This window comes from Homo sapiens, chromosome 9 (assembly GCF_000001405.40).
Source record: "Homo sapiens chromosome 9, GRCh38.p14 Primary Assembly".
Taxonomy (NCBI): domain Eukaryota; kingdom Metazoa; phylum Chordata; class Mammalia; order Primates; family Hominidae; genus Homo; species Homo sapiens.
The window spans coordinates 132,196,146-132,223,534 of record NC_000009.12 but is presented as its reverse complement, the minus strand read 5'-3'; the positions used below and the strand labels follow the sequence as shown (position 1 = coordinate 132,223,534).

Below are 27,389 nucleotides of genomic sequence, written 5' to 3'. Positions count from 1 at the left end.
TCTCTTCATGCTCCCCTTCCACTGGGAGGGGTGACGCTTTTTGTTTTCTCACCTCACACTCCCCAAATCCTCCTGGACACCACAGGCTGCAGAGCTCCCTCCTCGCATCCGGCCTCCCTCATATCTCAGTCCTGCCAGGTGCTTCATCTGAGCCCTCCTCCCTCGGCTCTGTCCCGCCTCTGTCCCTGTCTGAGTGGGAATGAAGGGTCCCCTGGGGGCCGCCTTCCAGAGCAAGGATCTGGGTGGGGAAACAGCGGCCCCTGCGTCCACCAGCCCTGGGGCTTCCAGCTAACCCCCATCTGCCAGCTTTGGTAACCAGGGCTGCCTTCCTCCTTGGGGTCTTCTCTCTGTCCTCGAATTATCCTGCAGAATGGTTAGGGAAATTATGGTAAATCCAGGCAATGGAGTCTTTTTGCTTTTTGAGACCGAGTCTCACTCTGTCACCCAGGCTGGAGTGCCGTGGCACAATCTCGGCTCACTGCAACTTCTGCCTCTCGGGCTCAAGCAATCCTCCCTCCTCAGCCTCCCGAGTAGCTGGGACCACAGTCGCGTGCCACCATGCCTGGCTAATTTCATTTTTATTTTTTGTGGAGATAGGGTCTCCCTGTGTTGCCCAGGCTGGTCTCAAACTCCTGGTTGAAGTTCAAGCAATCTGCCCACCTCAGCCTCCCAAAGTGCTGGGATTATAGGTGTGAGCCATTGCGACTGGCCTAAAGTCCATGTTTTAGAAATGTTATTTAGAAACATGAGGTCAGGCCAGAGTGGAGAAGGCAGTGAGTTTCTGAGCTGACGCCTTTCCTCCCAGGAGGAGGAGAGAATCCTGCAGGTCCTGGGTGGGCCGTGGGAGAGGGGGCACTCAGGAACCCACCGCTTTAGGTTACATGTATCCACTGTGCCGTGATGCTCAGTTCCCAGGACGAAGGACGTCTCTGGAATTCTCTGGAACAGAATTCTGAGGCAGAGCAAGAGCCCTGGCCAGCAGCACTAGCCACCGCTGAAGTCTGTGTGATTTTAACTCCATCTTCCCCTGAGAGCCTGGACACTAACCCTGCCGAGGTTTTACTGGAACACCAAGCTGAAATAAATAGAGCATTAAAAAGCCTGTTCACTCTTTCCCTGGCATTCTCATCCCTCCATTGCCACATGCGTGCTGCAGGACTGCTATGTGCTTAGCTCTGGGAAAGGCACAGAGGGGGACAGCAGGCACCTATTGGTACGGGCGGCCCTTCTTTCTGGAGATGCCAGATCCCAGAGATGGTCCTTGGCACAGAAAGTTTCTGTGCTTAAACCTTTTTGGTCAAGCATATGATGCTCTCCAAATCCCCTGACATCTGCTCCTTGATCCTACCTCACTCCACTGAGGGTCATAATACATCTCAGCAGATTAAAGGCTCTGACAAGACCTGCAGGGAAGAAACCTGTCTGACTTTGTCTAACAAGAGTTTGTCTGCAAAATCTGACCTGGGGAGGTTTTAATTCGCAACTTCTGAATTCCTATCTAACACCCCCCTGAGCTGGCTGGAGAGGAACACCTCAGCTGTACGGAACCGGGGCTGTGCTCCGCACTGCTGGCCTGAGGAAGGGATATTTTTAGATATCAGCTACCGAAAGAAAAGATTGCCATCAACTTTGGGTGATAACATTGACCTTGGCTTAGTAAAGATGCATAGAAGACCGGCCGAATCCAAGAAGCATATTGTAACAGTGATAATAGGTAGCCATTGGATGTCAGAGCTGGACAGGCTGGGTGGTGCTGGTAGGGAGAAGTCGCCCAAAGTCATACAGTTGGTTTCTCCTGACCCAAATCCAGACGTCCCTCCCCAGCTGGCTCTGCCCAGGCTCCATCCTGGCCAGCCCCTCCTATCAGTCCTGTCTTCCTCGGGAACAGGAGAAGATGTCCCGGCCTCTTCAACTCGCTGGCTGAGCCCCAGAACAAGCACAGTGCCTCCTCTTCCAAAGGAGAGAATTGCCCTGTCTAGCAGGGCTGCAGGGAGGAGCTGGCACTGTGTGGGGAAAGGCTGGCAAGGCTGGCACACACATGGCACCTGGTCAATGCAGGTGCTTCTGGTCTCTCTGACTTTTGCAGGTCACTGTGGGTGGTACTGCCTCTGTGTCGGTGTGTGTGGACATGGTGTTTGTGTATGACCTCTTGGCCTCTCTGGCTCTCTCAGTGCCCCTCTCTCCATGTCTCCGTCTTCTCCTGTCTCTTTGTCTCTCTCTCCATGTCTCTGTCCAGCAGATGTTCTGATCTTGCTTTTCTCTGGGCCTTTGCACATGCTGTTCCCTCTGCCTGGAATGTACTACAGGCTCTGCCCCTTCTCCTAGAGCTAATATTTAGAGGTGGTGTCAGATTCTAGGCCAAATGCCACTTCTTTGGGGAGGCCTTTCACAACCCCTACCTCAAATCAGCCCCTGCTACACTCTCCCTCCCCATAAAACTCATCATGATCAGCACTGGCTCCCAAAGTGGGATGTACGAGATGACTGGGGGAGATGGGCGCATGGACTGTAAAACAGCTCTACAGGCTATTATTTGTTTTTGAATACACAGTATGTTTTTTTTAATGTCAGACTCATAAGACCTGGGATCACAAAAATACTGCCTAAGTGAAACCAAATTTTTAAAGTATATTAATTTAAAGAAATTATTAGGTAAACAAATAAATAAATAATATGGGAGACCCACGTAAAAAGAATGAAGTTGGACCCTTCACATCACATATAAAAATTAACTCAAAATGGATCAAAGAGCTGCAAACTAGAAAACTCTCAGATGGAAACGTAGGGAGCCAGGTGCGGTGGCTCACGCCTGTAATCTGAGCACTTTCGGAGGCTGAGGCAGGCAGGTTACCTGAGGTCAGGAGTTGAAGTTGGTCAACATGGTGAAACCCCGTCTCTACTAAAATCACAAAAATTAGCCAGGTGTGGTGGTGGGTGCCTGTAATCCCAACTACTTGGGAGGTCCTGAGGCATGAGAATCACTTGAACCCAGGAGGCAGAGGTTGCAGTGAGCTGAGATTGCACTCTGGCCTGAGCACAGAGCGAGACTCTGTCTCAAAAAAAAAAAAAAAAAGAAGAAGGAAACATAGCAGCAAATCTTCATGACCTTGAATTAAGCAATGGTTTCTTAGACAGGATGCCAAAAGCAAAAGCAACAGAAGAAAAAAAAATAGATAAATTAGACTTCATCAAAACTAAATATTTTTGTACTTCAGAGGACACTGTCAGGAAAGTGAAAAGACAACCCACAGAATGGGAGAAAAATTTGCAAGTCATGACATAGCTAAAAAGGAACTTATATCTAGAACATCTAATGAACACTTATAACTCAATAATAAAATGACAAATAATCCAGTTTTTAAAATGAGGAAAGGATCAGCACAGACATTTCTCCGAAGAAGGCATACAAATGGCCAAGAAGCAGATGAAAACATGTTCAACATTACAGCCATCAGGGAAATGCACACCAAAGCCATAATGAGATACCACTTCACACTCACCAGGATAGGCAGAGTCAAAAAGACGGATAATCACCTGCTGGTGAGGATGCAGAGAAATCAGAACCCTCATACGCTGCTGGTGGGAATGTAAAATTGTGCAGCTGCTTTGGAAAGTGGTCTGGAAGTTCTACAAAAGGTGAACTTAGAGTTGCCCAGTAATTCTACCTAGGTATATAACCAAGAGAAACGAAAACATGTCCACACAAAATGTGTACATGAATGTTGATAGCAGCATTGCTAATAATAGTCAAAAGGTGGGAACAACCCAATATCCATCAACAGAAAAACAAAATGTGTAAGCAGGCAATGAATACTATACAGCCAGAAAAAGTAATGAAATACTGATCCACACTATGACATGGAAGAACCTTGAAAACATTATGCCAAGTGAAAGCGGTCAGTGATGAAAGACTACATATTGTATAATTTCTTTCTTTCTTTCTTTCTTTTTTTTTTTTTTTTGAGACAGAGTCTTGCTCTGTCACCCAGGCTGGAGTACAGTGGTATGATCTTGGCTCACTGCAACCTCCACCTCCTGGGTTCAAGTGATTCTCCTGCCTCAGCCTGCTAAGTAGCTGGGATTACAGGCACCCACCACCACATCTAGCTAATTTTTGTATTTTTAGTACAGATGGGGTTTTGCCATGTTGGCCATGCTAATCTTAAACTCCTGACCTCAAGTGATCCTCCCAGTTGGGCCTCCCAAAGTGCTGGGATTATAGGCATGAAGCACCGTGCCCAGCCATCTTGTATAATTTCATTTACACAAAATGTCTAGGATAGGTAGATGACTTTTTTTTTCTTTTTTTTTTTTGTTTTGAGACAGAGTCTTGCTCTGTCACCCAGGCTGAGTGTAGTGTCACGATCACAGCTCACTGCAATGTCTGCCTCCTGGGTTCAAGTGATTCTCCTGCCTCAGCCTCCCAAGTAGCTGGGATTACAGGCGTGTGCCACCACACCCGGCCAGAGTGTCTTTTTAGGGTGATGGAAATGTTCTAAAGTCTGCTGTGGTGATAGTTGCACAACTCTGTGAATAACCTAAAAGCGACTGAATTGTACGCTTTACATGTGTGGATTGTACAACGTGTGAATCACATCTGGGTAAAGCTGTGAGTGAATGAATGATCGGGATGTGTGGAAACAGGGAAGGGCTTACAGCTTCCAGGCTTTTCTTGCAGTATCTCTCCTAAAAATCTTCAGAGATTTGTTTTCCTATTTTTATAAACCTATCACATTGGGGCCGGGCGCGTTGGCTCACGCCTGTAATCCCAGCACTTTGGGAAGCCGAGGCGGGTGTATCACCTGAGGTCAGGAGTTCGAGACCAGCCTGGCCAACATGGTGAAATCCCGTCTCTACTAAAAATACAAAAATTAGCTGGGTGTGGTGGCATGCGCCTGTAATCCCAGCTACTCGGGAGGCTGAGGCAGGAGGATCGCTTGAACCCAACAGGTGGAGGTTGCAGTAGGCCGAGGTCATGCCATTGCACTCCAGCCTGGGGGACAAGAGCAACACTTGGTCTCAAAAAAACCAGAAAAACAAAAAAAACAAAAAAACAAAACGCTATCACATTGTGCCTCAAAGGAAGTCTCCTGGGTAGACAGCTGATGCGTGAGTGCTCACTTTGCATGAGGAACTGTTCTGAGAGTGCCACCCGAATTAGAACATTAGCCCTTCACAGCAATCCCCTGAATGACATGTCATTATTATCTTCGTTGTGCAGATGGGGAAACTGAGACTTGGGGTGGTGAAGTGAGCTGCCTGAGGTTCCACAGCTGGTAAGGGGCAGACGCAGGACTTGAATCCAAGCAGCTCGATTCAGAGCCACACTTAGTGTCTGCACTCCCGGGTGGCCTGTGTGGCAGGAGCCGGGAGCCCCCATGGTGCTGGTGGGCAGGGCTTCTGCCCAGCTCATGGTGCACACAGCTGTGTGGCCTGCACAAATTCTTAGCCAACCTGAGTCTCGCTTTTCTCACCTGAAGAGCGGGAAACAATATCTTGTGTATGCCACAGGCTGCCACGCACACCAGTGACACTGGCCCTGAGGAGCGATATGGACCACACCGGCCACATCACCCACACTCATCACGGTTGGGGTGAAACAAAAGCCCTGGCACAGAGCGGTGCCCACTGGGGTTTGTGTGCCTTCCTTTTGTCTTTCTGGGTGACTGAGAGATGGTAACCCCATCCCCTGGGCCCCACTGGCCTGGGATGTTCTGCCAACGACTGTGTGACCTCAGGAAAGTTGCTGAATTTCACTTGGCCTGTTTTCTAATCTGTAAAATAAGGATGGCAGTAACACCTGCCTCATGGAGTTGTTGGAAGGATCAAGTGGGAGACGGTCTATAAAGCTCTTGCATGAGACAAACAGGTGCCTAGGACATGCCAGTTTTCCATTTCTTATACTCAGGAGCTCCTAGAGCCAGGGATCCTCAGAGCTTTCAACAAGTGAAGTTATCACCTCTTCACAGGAACCTTATGCAGAGTATACTATGACTATCTCTATTTCACAGACAAGGAAATGAGGCAAGAGAAGTTAAGCAACTTGCCCAAGGCCACACAGCTGGTGAACCCCACTTTAGGAAGTGGGCAGGCAGTGGGCAGAGCCTGAAGAGTCTCAGTGTGCTGGCTCTTGGATAGACTCAGGCTCCTGGAACTGCAGCCACCCCACAGCTCCCCCAGACACAGGCACACCCTTCCCCTCCCTGCCTCAGGCTGCCTGCCTTCTGTGATTTCTCTGCCCTATTCTGGAAGGCCCTCGGGAGATGAAGTAAATGAAATAAATAAGCAAGCACATAGAAATAATTTGCTGAGTGCTCCTACGTGGACAGACGCCATGCATTATTAAACAAATCCTCGTGAAAACGCAGAAGGCACTGTCCTTCCCACTTTACAGGTGAGAATGCGAGGCTCAGATGGGTCAAGGGCCAGGGCTGTGGGTGGAAGAAGCAGGCTTGGCACTCGGGGCTGCATGGCACTAGAGCTGGATCTCACAGCCACCTGCTGCCTGCGTCTCTCTCAGTGCTGGCTTCGCGTCCATTCCATGGGGACAAAGAAGGCCAGGAAAGGGGCCACTAAGCCAGATGCCCCCATGCCTGCTGCCCATGGCCCTGCTTACCAATTCTGTGGCCCAGCCACAGCCAAGGAAATGCAGCCACAGAAGAAGAAAGAAGCCCCCTTTGCCACGTGCCCTCCTGGCACCAGCCTCTGCCTGGATCTGGACCTGGGCGGGCAGTCTGGGCTCCTGCTGCACTCCAGCCCAGATATTTCCCCTTCTTCTGTGGGATCAATTTTCCCAAGCGATCGCTCTCTGAATTTGACCCTCAGGAACCATCAATCTCACCAGAAAACCATCACCTGGGCCACCTGATCCCCCGACACAGCACTTTTCAGCTCATCCATCAGAAAGGATGATTTAATAATGAACATAGAGATAGGGCATGCTGGCCAGCCCATGAGGCCAGCGGACCCCTCCCAGGCCACCAGGGCTGTTCCCTCTCCACCCCTGCCCCACTGCAGAATCCTACGGCTTTAGCTCTTCAGACGGCAGCAAGAACGCTCCATGGGACACACACACACACACACACACACACACACACACACACACATACACACACACACAGAGAGAGAGAGAGAGAGAGAGAGAGAGAGAGAGGCTGAGTCAGCAGCCAGATTCTTACCCAGGTTTTGCTACTGATTGGCTAGGTGACCTTGAGCAAGTCACTTCTCTGGGTTTAATTTTTGGTAAATGTCTAACACACTGCCTGGCACACAGTAGGTGCTCAATGTTTGCAGAAAGAAGCAAGGGAGGAAGGGGATAATGCATGGGAGCTCTGTGTGCAGCAACCGGCATGGAGCACCTGCTGGGTTAAAGGCCGGTGAGTGTCACGGCTGGGCTGCAGCACCAGGTAGCGCGGTGGCCAGACAGTCGGGTTCAAACCTCTGACCCCTCAAGCTAGGCAAAGGCAGGAAGGTGACCAGCCTTGGGGAATCAGTCGGTGTCCTGTAACCCTAGGAAGTGGCTGTTTCCATGTGGCAGGACTGTCAAGGGTCAGGGAAGGGCAAGCTGAGCTGGTACCCTCGAGGGCTCAGCACTGGGTCTGGCACAGAGCATGCCCTCCGGAAACGTCAGCTATTATTATTGTTGCTATTGTCAACAGCCAACAGGTGATAGAGGGAGGGACGGAGATGAGAGTACATGGGCTCCCAGGTGCCAAGATCGGCCTTACCTGGCAGCCCTGAGGTGCCTGACCCCAAGGGCAGGGCCCCTTATTCATGCTGTCCCGTCCAACACCCACCCCAGAGCCTCTCTCAGAGCCTGCAGCTCCCCAAAATAGAGATAATCAACCTATTCTCCAGGCCCCTGGGGCGCCCCAAGAGGTGACACACCCCCTGGCCTCTTGGAGGATTCAGTAACATATTGCCAGATATTTATCCTTTATTTATTTACTTATTTTGAGATGGAATCTCGCTTTGTCATCTAGACCGGAGTGCAGTGGTTCGATCTTGGCTCACTTCAACCTCCACCTCCTGGGTTCAAGCAATTATCCTGCCTCAGCCTCCCGAGTAGCTGGGATTACAGGCGCCCGCCACCACACCCGGCTAATTTTAGTATTTTAGTAGAGATGGGGTTTCACCACGTTGGCCAGGCTGGTCTCAAACTCCTGACCTCAAATGATCCGCCCACCTCGGCCTCCCAAAATGCTGGGATTACAGGTATAAGCCACCATGCCTGGCCCCCACTGGCCTCTTGGAGTCATTTCCCCACAGAGCCCCATGCCACAATGGTTGCCAGATTTCCCAAATAAAAATACAGGACACTGAGTTACATTTGAATTTTAGGCCTGGTGCAGTGGCTCATGCGTGTAATCTGGGCACTCTGGGAGGCCCAGGCAGGAGGATTACCTGAGAACAGGAGTTTGAGACCAGCCTGGGCAAGAAAGTGAGACCCCCCCCCCCAATCTCTACAAAAAAATTAAAAAAAACACAAAATTTATCAGGGCATGGTGGTGAGCACCTGTCATCTTAGCTACTTCGGAGGCTGAGGCAGGAGGATCGCTTGAGTCCAGGAGGTTGAGGCTGCAGTGAGCCGTGATTGTGCCACTGCACTGCCCTTCAGCCTGGGTGACAGAGCAAGACCCTGTCTCTAAAAAAAAAAAAAATTTTTTTTGAATTTTAGATAAATAACTAATGATTTTGTTAGTACAAGTATATTCCATGAAATATTTGGGACATACTTACCCTAAAAAACAACGATTCCCTTGTTTATCTGAAATTCAGGTTTAACTGGGTATCCCGTATTTCATCTGGCAGGCCCACCTGCTACCCGGCTCACCCGTGTGGCTGTCTGGCCCCTCTGCTCAGACCCTGACTTCTCTCACGGCCTGACATGGGGCGCACTCACTTGCTTGCTGGAAGCTGGCCCTGCTGCCAGCAAGGACAGAGCCACAGCCACCTTTTCAGCTAAGTTTCCCTTTTTCTTGAATGGATGAGTCCCTAGTAAGCCCCTGGAGACCACAACTGTTAGTAGGCAGCACCGGGCCTCACCTCCAGGGGAGAGCCCAGCCCAGATAACACCAGTTCTCTGGGAAACGTGGCAGGCCCAGCTGGGGGCCTGACAGCCACATGAAGGATGACAGGGGCCCTGGCCCGTGCCAGGCAGGAGCGTGCCCTGCGCTGCAGGGAGGGGCAGGCAGTGCCTGGGAGCTGCTGCGGGGGCACCATCTGGACCCGGGCCTGGCACCGTCACTCCACAAAAATCGTGAGCGGGGCCCTTCCCTCCTCCCAGGGAGAGAGGAGCGGGGGGTTTGGAGAGTCTCCCAGACAGGAGGGCGGGTGGAATGTAGGTCAACTCCTGGCTGCCGGAAAGAGTGATGTCATCCACTCCTTGCGGGGAATGACGGAGGAAGCGGTGAGTTTGGGTGAGCGAGCCAGGGATGGTGCTGGAGCTGGGCAGGGAGGAGGAGGCCCCAGGGCTGGCTCTCTGCAAAGGCAAAGCCCCACGGGGATTTCAGAGTGTTCACGGCAATGGCTCTGAACTGGGGTGGGCAGGTGCTGGGCTGGGAGAGCTAGTCCCCAACTTGTCTCAAAGCACCTCTTTGCAGGACCATGGGGGTTCCTGGTCATTAATCACATTGCCTGGTCCTTCTTTCCTGGTATGTTACCACCCGTCCCCACATTATTACATGTCGTGTATACTGAGACTGGCCTCGCAGAGCTCTGGTACCTTGGGGGCTAAAGTTAGACTACTATTTTAACACAGCCAGCAATGTTTTCCAATTTCTCTTGCCAGATAGCGCATTTATCTTTGGGTGAAGAGTGTTCTTTTGTTTTGGGAAAAAACATTTTTCATGAGCCTCTGGGTTATGGGCAAAATAACCTAAAGCAAATCCCAGATCTTACGGTGGCTTGGAGATGCTCACAAGGGAGGCTGGCGTGTTCTGCAGGATGAAGGAGGAGGCTGAAGCAACAAGGGCCCTCGCTTTCTGAGGACTCACAGAGCTGGGGTTGGGGACCTGGACTGCAGTGAGGAATGATGCTGCCCTGGGAGGGGGCTGCGGGCTTACATGGCCAAGAGGTTTCTCCTCCCCAGCCGGTGGGTGGCCGTGGCCAATGGATGGACGATGGACGGCCTCAAGGTTGGTGATGGCTAATGGAAATCCTCTCAAGTCCTTCTTTTTTTTTTTTTTTTTTTTTTTTTTTTTTGAGATGGAGTCTTACTCTGTCATCGCCCAGGCTGGAGGCTGGAGTGCAGTGGCACGATCTCAGCTCACTTTAACCTCCGCCTCCCAAGTTCAAGTGATTCTCCTGCCTCAACCTCTTGAGTTTCCAGGATTATAGGCATGCACCACTATGCTTGGCTAATTTTTAATTTATTTTTGTATTTTTAGTAGAGACGAGGGTTTTACTATGTTGGCCAGGCTGGTCTTGAGCTCCCGACCTCAGGTGATCTGCCTTCCCAAATTGTTGAGGTTACAGGCATGAGCCATTGTGCCCGGCCTCAAGTCCTTCTTTTCTACATGGTAATTCCCATCTGCTATGCCCAGGCCTGAGTCAAGACGTCATGAAACACTGTGGCCTGGGGATCTTGGTCTTCTTTGGGGGGTTGGGAGAGATGTGTCCTTGGCTCAGGCAAGCAGTGTGGGGAGATGGGCAGCAGCCAGAGAAGAAACAAATGGTCAGGAGGGAAGCCTGCAGAGGCCAGCTTGAGTAAGAGGTGACAAGTGACCAGGGGACACACGGATTTGAGGATCATGGTGAAAGGAACATGGTAGCAAACTGCACTTCTAGCTAATTCATGGGATGGGGAAGCCTTGGGCACTAGAGGGAAGGAGGCTGTTGGATGCTGGAGAACTTGGGACTGTTTGGGTCAAAGGACTGCCATTCAAACCTGAGATCCTGAGAAAGCGAGGAACCAACAACAGAGCCGTGGGGGCAGAGGGGAGGTCTGGGTGGTCTGGGTTGGTCGCCTGGCGCAGCCTGGCTTTTCCAGGGTAACATGGACAAATGCTGGCTGCTGCGCCTCCTGGAACGCAATCAGGCCGGCAATTGAGTTCATTGGCTAAATCAAATTTGGGCTTCTGTGCGAAGCCCTTTTCTATTAAGTGCTTTAACATACCTCACCTCCTCAGTCTATTGATAAATCCTATTACCCATTACAAAGCCAGAGGCAGCTTCCTTGCACACAACACAGAGGCTGACGGGCGGGTGCTGGGAGGCTTGGGTGTGCGGCTTAGGGGTGACACGGTGGGTATGACCAGGGCCTGCGAAGGCACCCCCAGCCTAAGCAGCCTAGCTGACTTCAGCAAGGTTTCTTCTTCCCCTGCAGGAAGGCCCAACACCCCCGAGGGAAGGACCAGGCCCAGGTGGTAGCCCAGAGAGGCCCATTTCTCACACAAGGAAAACAGGAGAAGGAGCAGGGTGTGATGGTGGAAGGGTGGGAGGCGACAAGGGTGGGTGCTAGCAAGCCCAGCTGGTCCTGCCTCTCTGCCTCCTAGCGCCTATATTCCAGTCTCTTTCTTCTCTGGAAAGAGTTCCAGATAGTAAGACTTCTTTGTTCATGTAAGTTCATTTGTTCATGAATGAATAAATGAATGACTGACTGACTGAATGAATGAATGAATTCCACACATATACAGCACGCCTACCTGGTTCTGGGTGCTGGTGCTAAGGTGAGAACAAGCCAGACCCCATCCCTGCTCCCTTGGAGCTCAGAGCCTATGGGGGCGGGTGTCAGACGTGTACGTGCATAGCTATGGTAGCTATGGCAAGGCTGTGGAATTGTCACAAGCCGCCAAGGCTGGAGAAGGGGACCGAGGGGCTGGTTGCACAGGTCTCCAGCCTTCAGGAGCTCCAGAGAGGTGCTCTCTGAGCCAAGTCCTGAGGGGTGAGGAGTTTGCCAGACAGGAAGGCTGGGGAGGGCTAGGTCATGTTCCAGGCAGAAGGACTAGCCCCTAGGCCAGCCCGAGAGACCCAGCCTTTGGGGTGGCTGATCTTGGGAGTCTCAGAGCCCAGGCTACAGAAGGAGGTGAGAGGGAAAGTCTGTGGTCACAGAGCACAGACTTGAGTCTAAGGTCAGTAGAAGACCACTAGAGATATTGTGCAGAGAAGTGACTGGGTTTGTGTTTAGGGACAAAAAACTACAGAAAGGGCAAGACTGAAGGGAGGGAGGGAGGCCAGTCATGTCCCGAAACCAAATCCTGACGCCAGCCTGCACCTCTCTTCTAGGGGGCAAGGCTGCTGATAGGGGGTCCACCTTGGGACCTAGTTCAGGCTGAGAGTGGGATGGAGGGATGGTTAGAAGCCCAGAGGGGGCTTTGTCCCACAGAGTGGAAAGAGGCCTCCAGGAACCCAAGCATGAAGTGGGTGCCTCAACATGGGGGAGAAGCACAGAGAAGCCCTGAGCCCAGGGCAGTCAAGCCAAGGCCTCTGGTGAACCCCGGGCTGCTGCGGAGGCCTCCGCTCACCCTGTGGGTCCGCGTCTGTGAGCAGGGGTGCAAGGCAGCCATGTGGAGTGTGATGTGTCTATGACTGGGTGCTTCTGGAAGCGGATTCACATGTGTGGGTGGGGCAGGTGTGTGTTTATGTGTGAGTCAGGGGCATGTTACAGATGAGTGAATGGCTGCGTGTGTGTGTGACTTGGCGGGTACATCTAAGGGAGCATCTGTGAGTCTAAAACAGGCTTCACATGGGATGAAGGGCCAGGGATCCTCTACAATGACCCACCCCACGCTCCCTCTGCTGAGATGTGGAGGGAGGCAGCCCAGCCCAGGGGCAGAACAAGGCCTGAGGATGAGCCTGGATGTGGCCTGTCCTCTCCCCACTCAACTTCCCCTCTCCAACCCCATCTGTCCTGCCCAATCGCAGCTGGTGAGGCCCAGCAAGCCACAGAGCTGGGGTCGGGGGGACAGGAGCCTGCCGGGTGTCATGGCCACAGACCCAGAGGGAGTGGCCCAGGCAGAACTGGGTGGGGCTCAGTCCCCCGTCCGCTGTTGGCAGCAGCACTCTCCTCCAAAGTACCTTTGGCTATACCTACTATGAACTGAGCTTCTCATTCCTGCATGACTGTTGACTGATGAAGGGACAGAGGACAGAGCTGGAGATAAAGCCAAGGAATTCCACTCAGCCCCAGGCGAGTGACGGAGGAACATGGTCTGTGTGTTCAGGTGACAAAATACCGACTCCTTCAAGGGATCAATGGCTCCCCTTCCTCAGGCACCTCCTGAGTACTGGGACTTGAGCGGGCAAGTCTCAGACAATCTTTACAAGAGCGGGATCCCATTTTACAGGTGGGGAAACTGAGGCCTGGAGAAATGGAAGAGACTTGCCAGAAAAGAGCAAATGGAAAGAGCTGGAATCTCAGGCAGGCTGCTCGCTGGCACCGTGATGTGCCACTCTTTACTCAGGACAAAGGGACTTCTGTGAGCCACCAGGGTGGGCCACCCTGGGTTGTCAAGATGGACATGGAGTCTCTAGAAGGTGTTAGAAGCAGGGTTTCTGACCTAAATATGAAATCAGTCAGCCTTTCCTCCTTACACATGCTGGTGGGCCCTCTGTCCTGTCAGCTCTCCGCCCACCCCGATCACTTCCTCGGCTCCTGTCCCCAGCGTCCCTCCCGCCCTCCCCACAGCTATCTTCAGTCCTGGTGGATTCTTCCCATCCCAACGCCAACGCTGCCGCGCCTCCCGCCTTTCAGGAAGAGCCCTCTCCCCTCCCCATTCCCCCAGCAGCTCACACCCCATCTCTCTGCTCCCCTTCCGAGCAAAACGTTTTCAAAAGCTTGCCTACACCCCCTCTTTTTTACCCCTATTTCACTCTTTTAAAAGTGTTGGCATTCACCCCTGAAACCACCCCACGACGGCCTTCATCCCGGACTCCCGGGCTCTGCTCTGGGTGCGTCTACTGTGACCTCCATCTTCCCAGGTCCATGGGCCCACGCTGGCCTCCTCCACTTGGACCCGCCGCAGCATGGACACAGGTGGCCGCTGCCCTGCAGGAACCGCTCCCGCGTGGCTTTGGGGCACCGCCCTGCCAGATTCCCCCTGTCTCTGATCTCAGGGCTGCAGCCCGCCCGGCTCCCCGGCTCTCCTCTCGGAAGTCTCGCACGCCCCCACGGCGGGCGTCATCGTCACCGCGGAGCTCAGGACTCCCCGCGCCCAGTCTCGCCTGCGCTTCACACTCAGAGGCCCAAATGCTCCGGATGCCTCCAAAACGCTCACAACCAACAGGTCCAAAATAGAAGTCAGGCTTCCTCCAGTGCACAGCCGCGCTGGAAGACGGCCTGGCAGTTTCTCATAGAGTTAAACACGCTCACCAGACGACCCAGCCGTCCACACCTGGGTGTTTACCCAAGAGAAGCGAAAACTTATGTTCACCCAAAAACCTTTCCACGAATGTTTATAGCAGCTCTACTCATAATCGCCCCAGACTGGGAGCCACCGAAACGTCCTTCCACGGAGAATGGGTAAACAGACCACGGTGTGCAGTGCACACGGCACAGTCCTACTCAGGAGTGAGGAGCCCGAGCCACGCAGGCGGCCACGCCATAAGCCTCAGAGGCACAGTGAGAACGAAGGAGACCCCTTGAAAAAGCCACCTGCCGCACGACTCCACTTACAGCAGATTTTCAGGGAGCAGGATGGGGGCTTCCAGGGGTCTCGGGACGGGAGTTCTTGGAGAGACGGGCTGTTGTGGGCCCAGGCTGTGGTGGTGGTTGCATGACTCTATCCACGTGCTAAAATTCCTAGAATTGTACCCCCAAAAGGTCCACTTTGCTGTATGAAAATATAAAAATAAAAAATTAAGAAATAAAAAAAAAATTCCCCTCCAGAAAATCCCCTCACCTCTGTCCCCATTTGACAAGGCAAAATTTCCATCCACCCAGTGTCTCAAAGCCAGATGCCTGGGAGTCCTCCATGATGCCTCCCACCGCCTGCTCCCATCAGCTACTCAGCAACACTGCCACCAAAGACCACCTCCAGGCGGCCCACATCACAGCCCCTGTCCCTGCCAGAACCCGGCCAGGCTGCTGTCAGTCTTGGTAGGGCCCGCCCAGTCTCCTGCAGGCCTCCAGCACCGCCACCCCCAACTCAGATTTCCAAACACCGGAAATCAGATCACACCTCTCCCCTGCCTGTAGCCCTCCTACCAAACTTCAACCAAAACCAACTTCCTCCCGGGGCTGCAGGGCTGGCGTGATCTGGCCCTGCCTGCTCTTCTTTGGAATCTTACTCACCCACCACAGCCACATCACACTGAGTCCTTAGAAGGCACTGCACCTGTCCTGCCTGCTGTCCCCCTGCCACAAATGCCGTGCCCCCGTTCCCCCTTCAGGTTTCTCCTTCAAAGCCCCCCTCCCTGGAGGGCCTTCCCTGACCCCTGGGTCCAGGTCTCAGGTTGGTTCCCAGCTCCACTCCCATATTGCCCTGGGTTTTGAGATAGGGTCTCGCTCTGTTGCCCAGGCTGGAGTGCAGTAGCACAGTCATAACTCACTGCAGGCTTGACTTCCTGGGCTCAAGCAATCCTCCCACCTCAGCCTCCCAGGTATCTGAGACCACAGGCGCACACCACCATGCCTGGCTAATTTTTGTATTTTTTGTCGTGATGGGGTTTCACCATGTGGCCCAAGCTGGTCTTGAACTCCTGCGCTCAAGCAATCCGCCAGCCTCAGCCTCCCAAAGTGCTGGGGTTACAGGCGTGAGCCACCGTGCCTGGCCTTGCCCTGGTTTCTTTCTCACCGTGCACCTGTGGGCACTTGGGGGTACTGGGTTTGTTGATTTCTGCTCTCCCACTACGGGAGCGTCAGCCCCTCCATGCTCTTGGACCCTGGCACCCTGCTTGTGTCCAGCATGTCATAGGTGCCTGCTGTGGGCCAAATCGTGTCTCCCGAAAAGATATGTTGACATCCTGACCCCCAGTGCCTATGAATGTGACCTTACATGGAAACGGGGTTTTGTGGATGTGGATGAGGATGTAAGTTAAGCTGAGGTCATGCTGCAGGAGGGCGGGCCCTTATCCGATGTGATTGGTGTCCCTGTAGGAAGAGACACGGGGAGACAGCGTGTAAGACAGATGCTCAGGGAGCGGACAGCCGCAAGACAAGGCAGAGACTGGAGTGACGCAGCTGCAAGCCCAGGAACGCCAGAGGCTGCCGGCCCCACCAGGAGCGAGCGGAGGGCGGAGGGTATGGGACAGATTCCCCTCTGCAGGTTCCACAGCGAAGCCAGCTGCACCCTGATTTCAGACTCCTGACCTCCACCCAGTTAGTGGTACTTAGTTATGGAGGCTCCAAGAAACCAAGGCAGTGCCCATTAGAAATATGTGTTAATTCATCCCTGCAAGGTCTGAGAAAAAACATCTGTTGAGTGAATTAATATGATGGCGAGAAAGCTCGCAGAGGAAATGCCTTCTTAGGCAAGAGAAGAGGGAACCCCGATTCTGCCTAGTGCTGCTGGGAAGGCGTTGCTGTGCGTGACTCTCTCCCAAGCACCTGCAGGGCTCCCCAAGCCTCCTGTGACCCTGGCCAAGGCCGAGATGCCCCTCCTGCCCTCTCCGCCCCACCCAGCAGTGGAGCAGAGCCAAAGACCAGAGGAGACCGCAGGTCCAGGGGTCAACCACCTGCCTTGGCAGTGGACCCCACCACCCCCCAACTCTTCAGCATAGTCTGGCCCCTTCCCAACACCGGCACTTCTCAGTGGAGGCTGATGTGGTCTGGAATCGTGCATGCCCGCTTTTTGGTGGGAAGCAGTAGCTCAGGGGGCCTGGGAGATGCAGTTGAAGGTGTGTGAACTGTACTTAACAAAATGTCTGTCCCCAAAGAGCTGGGTGTCCCCAAAGAGTTGGGTTTATTTTATTTATTTATTTATTTTTTTGAGACGGAGTCTTGCTCTGTCACCCAGGCTGGAGTGCAATGGCACGATCTCGGCTCACTGCAACCTCCGCCTTCTGGGTTCAAGTGATTCTCCTGCCTCAGCCTCCCGAGTAGCTGGGATTACAGGTGCACGCCACCACGCCTGGATAAATTTTGTATCTTTAGTAGAGACAGGGTTTTACCATGTTGGTCAGGCTGGTCTTGAACTCCTGACCTCAGGTGATGGACCTGCCTCGGCCTCCCAAAGTGTTGGGATTACAGGCGTGAGCCACCACGCCCGGCCAAGAGTTGGGTTTAAAAAATGAAAAGCAGAACACAAAGCTGCCTTTCCAGGGACTCTCCAAATATTTTGGGATCATGGACCCCCTTTGAGAATGGAACAAAAACTAGGGGCTCTCACCAACTGACTGCACACACACAACACTTAGCATATATTTCAGGGAGTCCATGGATGATTGAAACCCACCCTTTGCGCTCCTAAGAGCCCATAGGCCCCAGTAGAAGAACCTCCAGGCCCTCTGTGATCTGCTGTTCTTTCTCTGTATCCCTGACAGTTGTGGCTCCTCTCTCTGGATGGTCTCACTTAAACTCCAGGGTGATTGTCTCCATTTTGTGGAGGTGGGAAGGAGGCAAAGACAGGTTAGACAACTTGCCCAGGGTCACACCTAATCCAGAATTTGCACCTGGACAGTCTGACATGGAGACCACCCACCCATCTATTTCCTTCATTTTTTAGTGTGCTAAAATATACGTATATATTTATCACCTTACCATGTTTTTTTCTTTTGAGATGGAGTCTCTCTCTGTTGCCCAGGCTGGAGTGCAGTGGTGCGATCTCAGTTCACTGCAACCTCCACTTCCCTGGTTCAAGTGATTCTCCTGTCTCGGCTTCCCAAGTAGGTGGGATTACAGGCACCCGCTCCCACACCTAGGTAATTTTTGTATTTTTAGTAGAGATGGGGTTTTGCCATGTTGGCCAGGCTGGTCTTGAGCTCCTGACCTCAAGTGATCCGCCCGCCTCGGCCTCCCAAAGTGCTGAGATTACAGGCATGAGCCACCGCGCCCAGCCACCTTACCATTGTTAAGTGTACAGTCTGGTGGCATTAGCACATCCACAGTGCTGTGCAAGCACCGTTACCATCCCTCTCCAGAACTTTAAATCATCGCAAACTGAAGCTGTCTCCATTAAATACTAACCCCCATTCCGCCTTCCCCCAGCCCCTGGCAGCCACCATTCTACTTTCTGTCTCTATGAATTTGACGACTCTGGGGACGTCGGGTAAGCAGAATCATATGGTACTTGTCCTTTTGTGTCTGGCTTATTTCACTTAGCATCATGTCCTCAGGGTTCATCTGTGTCGCAGCGTGTGTCAGGTTCTCCCTCCTTTTTAAGGCTGAATCATATTCCATTATATGGATGGGTCACATTTTATGTCTTCATTTGTTGATGAACAGTTGTGTTGTTTCTACCTTTTGACTACTCTGAATAAAGCTGCTATAAACATGGGTGTACAAGTATCTGTTCAAGTCCCTTCTTTCAGTTCTGTTGGGTCTATACCTAGGAGCGGAATTGCTAAATCTACATGTAACTTGTTCAGGAGCCACCATACTGTTCTCCCCTGTGGCTGCACCGTTTTTGTTCCCACCAGCAATGCATGAAGGTTCCGATTTTTCCACATCCTTGCCAACACTTGTTATTTTTTGCTTTTCCAATAATAGCCATCCTCATGGGTACCTCCATCTATTTTGTTTTCATTGAGATGGGGGTCTCACTATATTGCCCAGGCTGGTCTTGAACTCCTGGACTCAAGAGATCCTCCTGCGTCAGCCTCCCAAAGTGCTAGGATTACAGGCACGAGCCACCACACCCAGCCCTTCCATCTATATCTCAACCTCCTGGCCTCAGTTTCCTCATCTGTGTCATGGGGACAATGATCCTCACAGGATAGGACTTAATGAGGAAATGCACATAAAGGACTCGGGATGCTACCTGGGCTATGGGAATTCTCAGTGAATGACAGTTAATATTGCTGAGGGAGTTGTCTCTGCCTTCCCAGAGTTTCAAGGAGTCAGTGCAGGCAGAATAACATCACAGAATTCCCTTCTTGCCCCTGTTTTTCCTGTAGAGCAGCTGAGAAAGAGATGCAGGGAGGGTGGGTACAGGAATAGGGTGGCTGAAATCGCCTGTCTCTGCACTCCCCTCCCCGCGCCCACCTGCCCACCCTCCATGGTTTTCTTCCCTCTGCTGTTTCTATTCTAGTCCGGTGTCCGTCCATCTCCAGTTACGGGGCGATCAATAGGGACAGGACGTTTATGGAAGAAAACAAGAAGGCAAGAAAGAGGGGAGGGTGTTGAGGAAAAAACAGGTTGGGGGAGGCCCAGGGACATAGAGCAGCTAGACCCCCACAGGGTCTGGGGAAGCTGGGTCTGCAGGAGCCGGGCTTGGCCAGTCTGGAGCTCAGATCTGCCCGTCCAGGCCCAGCTCAGCCTCTTGGAACTCACGGGTTTCCTCTCGCTCAAGGACTTCAGCCTGCTCCTGGGCAGAAAGGGGGTGAGGATGCAATGCCTGGCACGTAACCCATGGGTTCCCAATAAATGGTACCTGCCTTTCCTGTTCCCTTAATCCACATTTATTCCTTTTGAACAGAATGGGCACACAAGACCTTAATTTGGTGCAAAGGACCTCCCTTCATCATCTCCCACAAACACCACCCACTGGGCTTGAATACCTCCAGGAATGGGGAACTCATTCCTCCTTTCCTGTTCCTGCTGGCAAAGGACCCGCTGGGCTGCCTTCCTGGAGCTTCCTGGGTTTTCTGGGCAGAGGAACTTGCGTGGGATGATGCCCCCTTCCCTCTGACTCCCAGGTCTGGAGTGGGCAGAGCTGGCTGGGCTGTTTTGCTATCTTGCCCCTGCCCTGGCTCCAGTGTGTTGGCCCTGCCTTGGGCCCATCGAATGCAGCTGCTACCACGGCTGCAGGAGGACACTGAGCATTTCAGAGCAGGGGTGCTCCCTGGCAGCTCGTGAGCTGCCCTGGGCTGCAGGGGTATTTTGTTTTCCTTGCACAGAGTTTAAACAACTTTTTGAAGTAGGTGCCAATATTTTTGAAAGCAAGAGACTTTACATAGATACTTCTGTGCACCTTCCTTTGTAACCGCAGAAGATCTGGAATGTTTGGTCCACTGTCTTGTGAGGCGCCTGCTGTCTCCATTTCTCCCCAGGCCACACCCTTCCCTATCGCTTCCGCTGGTACCATAGGTACCCATGTACATTATCTTCTTCTCATTATTTTTATTATTCATTTGAATTTATTATTATTATTTTTTTAGAGACAGGATCTCTCTCTGTCACCCAGGCTGGAGTGCTGTGGTACCATCATAACTCACTGCAGCCTCAACCTCCCAGGCTCAAATAATCCTTCTGCCTCAGCCTCCCAAGTAGCTAGGACTACAGGCGCACACCACCATGCCTGGCTTCCACGTAAGTTGTGTTTCCAGCCTCTGCAGACATTTGGGATTGCAACCCCTGTGAACCCAGAGGCATGCTTCCACACTCCTTCTAGTACCTGGGGTGGGTGCAGGAATGGCCTCATATCTAGGCAGCCCTGACCCCAAGCCTCCCCCACTTCCCTCTCCCACCGTCTAACCAGAGGAATGAGACACTGGGATAAGCTCTTTGAATATAGCATTTCATCGACTCCTCACAACAGGCAGCTGAAGTCATTACTATTTCTCCATTTTGCAGATGAGAAAACTGAGGTTCCAACAGGTTACAGTCATCCATCTCCATGGATGCAGCAGCTTCCACCTTTCCAGCTCACTTGAGGAGCTTTGCAAAGACACAGCCTTCTGGACCTCACCCCAAGCCTCCCGGTCCCAAAGCTCTCAGTGGTGGGGCTGGGGAACCCTGTCTTAAATGGTTCTCCTGTGAGATGCTGGGTCAGGTTTGGGCCCCGCTTCTCTTAATGGTTGTGTGGAGGGTGGGGGCGGAGGCCCCTCCCGCTCCAAGCACCATAAAGGGATGATCTCATTCCTCCTCAAATCCAGATTCTGCCCCAGATTTGCTGCACAGTCTGAAGCCAGCCACTCTCCAGGCTCCGCACCTGAGTTTCCCCATGTGTGGAAGGAGAAAATAGCTCCCACCCCCTGCCTGCCTTCCAGGAATGGGCACGTGGAGCAGGCTCCGCGGGAGGCAGGGAGGGGGCGTGGCTGGGACTTGCGGGTGCCTGTGCTTCTCTCAGAGCCACCGGCAGCCCACCTGCCCCCTGTGGGGCTGCAGCTCAGTCTGTCCCCACCTCTTGTCCCCCTCACCATTTGTACCAGTCCCTCCTTCCCAGGGCCCTGGGCTGGCTGCAGCTGCTGCAGCTGCTCCAGCTCCTCCTCTGCAGCCAGGTGCCTCTGTCCTCCCCCTCCTGCCTACATTGCTGCCTGCCATTGGGGTCCCCCTTGGAGCTGGAAATCACTGACTTGAGTGGCAGAGCAGGGAGCCACCACCCATCAAAGAACCTTCAATTCAAAGGGGAGTCCCGTGGGATCGCTCCATCATACAGGCTACCTGAGCTCCAGGTGGGCTCAAGTCAGAGCTGGAACCAGAAATGAGGCAGCCACCGGGCCAGGGCTAGGGACAGCTCGGTGGCTGAGTCTGTCTTGAGCCTGGACATGCTTGTGTCTAGATGTTAGCTGTCTGCCATGTAGTGGCGCTGTGCAATCTCCTTCTATTCTCTGACCTCAGAGTCCTTGGCTTCTTCATCTGAAAACACGAGGCTGGGGGAGCGCTGCCCCCGCGGGGAGCGCTCCAGGGGGTGGGGATCAGGTCTGGCTTGCTCAGTGCCGTGTCTTTGGCTTGTGGGATCTGAGCCATTCAATAACCATTGGGGAATTAAACGGCTATTGATTAAACAAGAAAATACACATGAAGCCGTTAATAACAGCGCTCAATAGCAAATGAGCCCGTAGCAAATGCTCGATAAACGTTTGCTGTTCTTGTTAGTGGGCCACAGCGGAGCCACTGGGCAACATGGCAGTCACGAAATTCTGAGGGAATCCCCAGAACAGGATCGGTGTAAAATCCCAGAGCCTGGGAACCCCCAGGGGTCCCTGGTGCCCACTCAGGAACTTCGGGTCCCACATCCCCCTTTGCCACCAGTCCTGTGTCTCTGGCTTCTCAGCATGGCTGGACTTTCCCAGCGGAACTGAAGAGGGAAAAGGGGAGGTAACCTCAGTCCTTCGCTGAACCGTCTAACCCAACCGAGTTCAACGACAAGCCAAGCTGCCGCCTGAAGAGTGTTTACTCTCTCTCTGAATTGATTGTACACTCTCGCCACCACCTCGGCTCCTCCCCGCCGCCCGCAGAGGCTGGGTGCCAAGCGGAACCACCTCCAGGGAGACATGGGCTCCAGGCAGCCTCAGGCCTCTTGTCACAGATGGGAAATCAAGGCAGGATGCAGAGAGGCAGGGTTTGAACCCCAGGTCACCCTGCTGGGGTTGAAGGGGCACCACCAGGCCCTGAGCATCACAGTCCCAGTCTGGATCCTACAGCTGGCCCAGACATGAGGGCCCCACATGAGCCACCTTATGAAAGGTAAGGCAGGGTCCTTGAACAGTTGCCTGAAGATGAGGGTTTCCCTGAGCAGTCCAAGGTCAGAAGACAAGCCAGGAGCCTGCAGGGCCTGGGGAGCTGGTTCCCAGCCCTGAGCTGCTAAGCCCAGTGGGACTGCAGGGATTGGCAGGTGTCTAGTAACAACCAGACAATTGCATCCCGAGGGCAGAGGTCACGGAGATGCCCAGGGGCTGAAAGTCTGGACACCAGTTCCACAACAGTGCCTATATATGGGGTGGTTTCCAGAACATTCCTGATTTTGAATATCCTGTCCCAATTGGAGGTGGGTTAGAGATCACGGGTGTCAGAACCACGGGCCCCTGTCTGCACCTGCTTCACTCCCATCTGCCAGACTTGAAGCTGACTCCAGCTTCATGAACGACCTGCCTTTGCCTTTGCCCACCTGGAATCCACACACACCGTCAAAGTGAAACAAAATGCAAATACAAGCTGGAAACAGCAGCACCACAGCGGCCTGCCCAGCCTCACGGCACAGGCATCACCACAGCACATGGCTGGCAAACGGGCTTCCAGCCTTTCTCCCCAACCCATGATGTTTTTCCCGGTCCTGTACACACTTACAGCCAATGTCTGTTCAAGACGCAGAAATGATATACAAGGCATATTATATATTTTACAAAAACAGGATTATGCTCTACCTGCCATACGGCAAATCACTTTTTCCACTTGTCAGGAATTACAGATTTGGGTGGACATTGAAAGCCTGCAGTGGAGAGATGCCCACAGTGATCATCCCAGCTGGGCTCCCCAGGTGCAGCCCCTGCCTGCACCTGCCTAAGCCAGGCTCCTGGCCCGGACTGCCCCAGCACCCTTGGGTCTCAACTCTCTCCTCCCTCAGCCCGCCCCAGCCCTCTCACTCCATTATTTTGTCCAATTTTTTTATTAAACACTTTTTTTTAGTGCGTATTATGTGCCAGGCACTGTTCGGTGTGCTTCATCAACTTTAACTCATTTAACCCTCACCACAATCCAGCAAGAGACTTATGCTTGTTACCATCCCCATTCTACAGATGGCCCAGGGTAGATGGCATTGCCCCCACAGACTGGCATATTATCTGCCAAAAGTACAAATGACCCAGGACAACACAGAACCATTTAATCATCCACAGTCTAAACAGTTTTTGGGAGGTAAAGGCTGCTTTCATCTCCTATGACAGTCTTTTGCCTTCCTCAAAGTTTCCTCAAAACACATTCCTCTCCAGAGCTGGGCAAGAAAGAGCTGCCACAGCAGGCCTGGGTTGTCCACACCCTGCACATTCCAAAGAAAGATCTGACTCCGGCCTGGTTTCTGCTAGGTGACCTCTAATCCATAAGCCGTTGGACTGTCCTGTCTAGGAAGAGTGTCCATGTTTGCCTGCGGGTCTTGGGCCACATCAGAGAGCCTATGCCTTGGGCCATGTAGTATCAGCTCGACCTCTGGAGGGATTGGAGCCAAAGGCCAGCCAGATCATCAGCAATGCCTATACCATCATCTCCCAGTAAAAACTCTGAACACTGAGGCTTCAGTAAGCATCCCTGCCTGGTGATAGTTCACAAGCATTGTCCCATGTCACTGCTGGGAGAATCAAGTGCTGCCTGCACAACCCCACTGGGAGAGGACAATGAGAAGCTTGCACCTGGTATCTCCTGGACCCAGCCCTGTGCACCTTTTCCTGTTGCTGATTTTAATCTGTATCCTTCATTGTAATAAACCATAACTGTGAATATAGCAGCTTTGCTGAGTTCTGTGAGATTTTCTAGTGAATCATGGAGCCTGAGGGCGGTCTCGGAAACCCCTGAACATGAGAGCCCATTCACTGAGTCAGTGGACAGCCTCAGAGCACTTCTCACAGTCAGCACCAGGAGTTAGCCCAGCTCTGCCCAGACAGGCTCCACTCCTGCCCTCCACACCTCCAACACATGCACTTCCTTCCTCCGACATGTGCACCTTCTTCCGTGGAAAAGCTCAGGCATTGGGTCTGTGCAGCCCCAGCCATCCTAGGCAGTCCCTATGATGTAATATCAGGTAATGTCCTGAGAACCAGGTAATGTCCCAGGTGCTAGGTAACCTCCTGGAAACCAAGTAACATCTCAAGAAGTAGATAGTGTCCCAGGTACCAGGTAACATTCCAAGAACCAGGTCATGTCCCAGGTACCAGATAACATCCCAAGAACCAGGTCATGTCCCAGGTACCAGGTAACATCCCAAGAACCAGGGGATGTGTCACATACCAGGTAACCCCCAGGGAACCAGGTAACGATGTATCACATACCAGGTAACCCCCGGGGAACCAGGTAACGATGTATCACATACCAGGTAACGCCCAGGGAACCAGGTAACATCCCAAGAACCCGGTCATGTTCCACATACCAGGTAACATCCCAGGTATCCAATAACGTCCCAGGTAACAGATAGCATCCCAGGTTGCAGGTGACATCCAGGGCTTCCCCCGGCCTTACCTGCCGATGACCTCGATGTTGGAGATGGCGTAGAAGTACTTGTAGAGGTTCTCCCGCTGCACATAGGTGCCGCCCAGCGCCGGGCGCAGCAGCCGCATGCGCAGGTCGGTGAGGGTGAAGAACTCCTTGAGGCCCTTGGCGCTCTCCAGCCGCGTGTAGAGGTTGTCCATGTTGCGCAGGTCGGGGCCGGCAAAGATGGCGAAGCGGTCCCGCACCTCGAAGCGCACGTGCTTCTCCTTCTTGGAGCCTGCCCAGCGCGAGTACTCCTCGGTGCAGAGCACGCGGTGCGCGCTGGAGGATGACATGTCGCGGGCCCGGCGGGCGGACATACCGAAGGCCTCCATGCAGTCCTCGGCGTAGAACTGGTAGGGCTGCCAGGTGCGCCCGTTGTCCAGGGACTTCTCCAGGACCATGACCGTGGGCCGGCCGTACTCGAAGGTCATCACCACGTCGTCGGTCAGCTCCACGGTCTTGTTCCACGAAAGGGTGATGTTGGCTTCCAGCGGGCTGGGGTAGCGGCTCCAGGTGATGCTCTGCCAGTAGGTGGCCAGGCCCTCCTCCTCCTTGTCGAACATGAGCCTGGGCGGGTGGGCCAGGTCCGGGTTGGAGGCGTCACACTCGTTGCTGCATAGGTAGGGATTCTCCTGCAGCGGGGAGAGGAGAAGGGAAGGGTGGGTGCTGGATGCTCGGGATGGCCTGGGAAGCCTCTGCGCGGCCTAGCCCCTGCCTGCGAACCGAGAAACCTGCTCTGTGGCTACAGGGCCTGTGCTCCGGTGCCCAGACACAGCTGGGAGATTTGTGCCCATTTCCTCAATGCGTGCAGAGGTGTGCAATCCCATGGCTTCCAAAGAAAAAATGCATACTTGTCCTTGCTCTAAATACAGACAACCAAGAAGGCTGGGTGTTAGTCCCCTGCTTTGAAGCCCTCCATGGCTCCCCGTTGCCTGGAATACAGAGTCCTGACTCTGTAATATACCAACCCCAACCTGCCCTCCCACACCTGGTGACAGTGTGCCTGGGCCTCCCCGGGACAGCTGTCCTCCTGCCCCTGCCTGGTTGTACCTCTGAGCCTTTGCAGATGGCATTCTGTCTCCTTCATGTGCCCTTCCACTCTGTCCGCCTCAAAAATTCCCATTCACATTCTCGACTCTCTAAATATCTCCTTAGCTGAGTCACCTTCCTGAGCCTTTTATTTTTTAATTTTAATTTTATTTTTTTATTGAGATGGAGTCTTGCTATGTTTCCCAGGATGGAGTGCAGTGGGGCGATCTCGGCTCACAGCAACCTCCACCTCCCAGGTTCCAGCGATTCTCCTGCCTCAGCCTCCCAAGTAGCTGGGATTACAGGCATGCACCACCACGCCCGGCTAATTTTTGTGTTTTTAGTAGAGACAGGGTTTCGCCATGTTGGCCAGGCTGGTCTCGAACTCTGACCTCCGTTGATCCACCTGGCTTGCCCTCCCAAAGTGCTGGGATTGCAGACGTGAGCCACTGCGCCCGGCCCCTGAGCCTTTTTACCTGTACCCTTAGGATTGGTGAACACATTGAGGTGCTCAAAGAGGGCCTGGAAGCTCTGGGTCTCTCCCCGATCCCTTACTCTGTGAGTCTCTTCTATCTGGCTGTTCCTGAACTTGATAAACAGGTAAATGTAGGGAAAATGCCTTTCTGAGTTCCGTGAGCTGTTCTAGCAAACTATCAAACCTGAGGGAGGGGTCGTGGGAACCCCCAATTTACAGCCAATTGGACAGAAGTACGGGAGGCAGGAACTTGCAATTGCGTCAGAGGTGGGGGCAGTGTGGTGCGACTGAGCCCTTCACCTGAGGGTTCTGACGCCAGCTCTGGGCAGTGTTACAATTGAACGGAATCATCGGACACCCAGTGGTGTCCAGAGAGCTGGAGACTAGGTTGTTGGTGTGGAAAACCCATACATTTGGTGTGAGAAGTGTCACTGATGGAAACAGGCCAGAGGGATCTGAAAATGTCACTAACGTAGTGGTCCCCAGGGTCAGAGGGATGACTAGGCCGAGCACAGGGCATTTTTAGGACAGTGAGGCTATGCCGTATAATACTGCAGTGGTGGATGCATGCCATTATGAATGAGTCAAAACCCATAGACCCAGGCTGGGCGCGGTGGCTCACACCTGTAATCCAGCACTTTGGGAGGCCGAGGCGGGCAGATCACCTGAGGTCAGGAGTTCAAGACAAGCCTGACCAACATGGAGAAACCCCGTCTCTACTAAAAATACAAAAAAATTACCCGGGCGTGGTGGTGCATGCCTGTAATCCCAGTTACTGGGGAGGCTGAGGCAAGAGAATCACTTGAACCCTGGAGGCGTAGGTTGCAGTGAGCCGAGATCGTGCCATTGCACTCCAGCCTGGGCAACAAGAGTGAAACTCCGTATCAAACAAAAACAAAAACAAACAAAAACAAAACAAAACAAACAAAAAAACCCATAGACCTGTAC

At 53.0% G+C, this 27,389-nt stretch overlaps 1 protein-coding gene across 22 annotated transcripts in view, besides 3 other annotated features; it reads right to left on the bottom strand.

Moving 5' to 3' along the window:
• Positions 1 to 27,389, bottom strand: part of NTNG2 (netrin G2) — an 82,838-nt gene that overhangs the window by 20,992 nt on the left and 34,457 nt on the right. For 21 of the 22 annotated variants that reach the window (XM_011519096.3, XM_017015213.2, XM_047423970.1 and 18 more), the window contains one exon: positions 24,926 to 25,569. In XM_011519096.3, coding sequence (XP_011517398.1) covers positions 24,926 to 25,569 — 644 coding nt within the window. Of the gene's footprint in view, positions 1 to 14,669; positions 14,772 to 24,925; positions 25,570 to 27,389 lie in introns of those variants that run through there. The other variant, XM_017015216.2, reaches the window with a different exon arrangement.
• Positions 9,130 to 9,874: an enhancer, noted in NCBI's record as "H3K27ac-H3K4me1 hESC enhancer chr9:135089048-135089792 (GRCh37/hg19 assembly coordinates)". NCBI's record gives its function as "activates a minimal SCP1, AML or CMV promoter by ChIP-STARR-seq in naive H9 embryonic stem cells {active_cell/tissue: H9 hESC(naive)}" and the evidence as "EXISTENCE:reporter gene assay evidence [ECO:0000049][PMID:30033119]".
• Positions 14,842 to 15,517: an enhancer, noted in NCBI's record as "H3K4me1 hESC enhancer chr9:135083405-135084080 (GRCh37/hg19 assembly coordinates)". NCBI's record gives its function as "activates a minimal SCP1, AML or CMV promoter by ChIP-STARR-seq in naive H9 embryonic stem cells {active_cell/tissue: H9 hESC(naive)}" and the evidence as "EXISTENCE:reporter gene assay evidence [ECO:0000049][PMID:30033119]".
• Positions 15,518 to 16,193: an enhancer, noted in NCBI's record as "H3K4me1 hESC enhancer chr9:135082729-135083404 (GRCh37/hg19 assembly coordinates)". NCBI's record gives its function as "activates a minimal SCP1, AML or CMV promoter by ChIP-STARR-seq in primed H9 embryonic stem cells {active_cell/tissue: H9 hESC(primed)}" and the evidence as "EXISTENCE:reporter gene assay evidence [ECO:0000049][PMID:30033119]".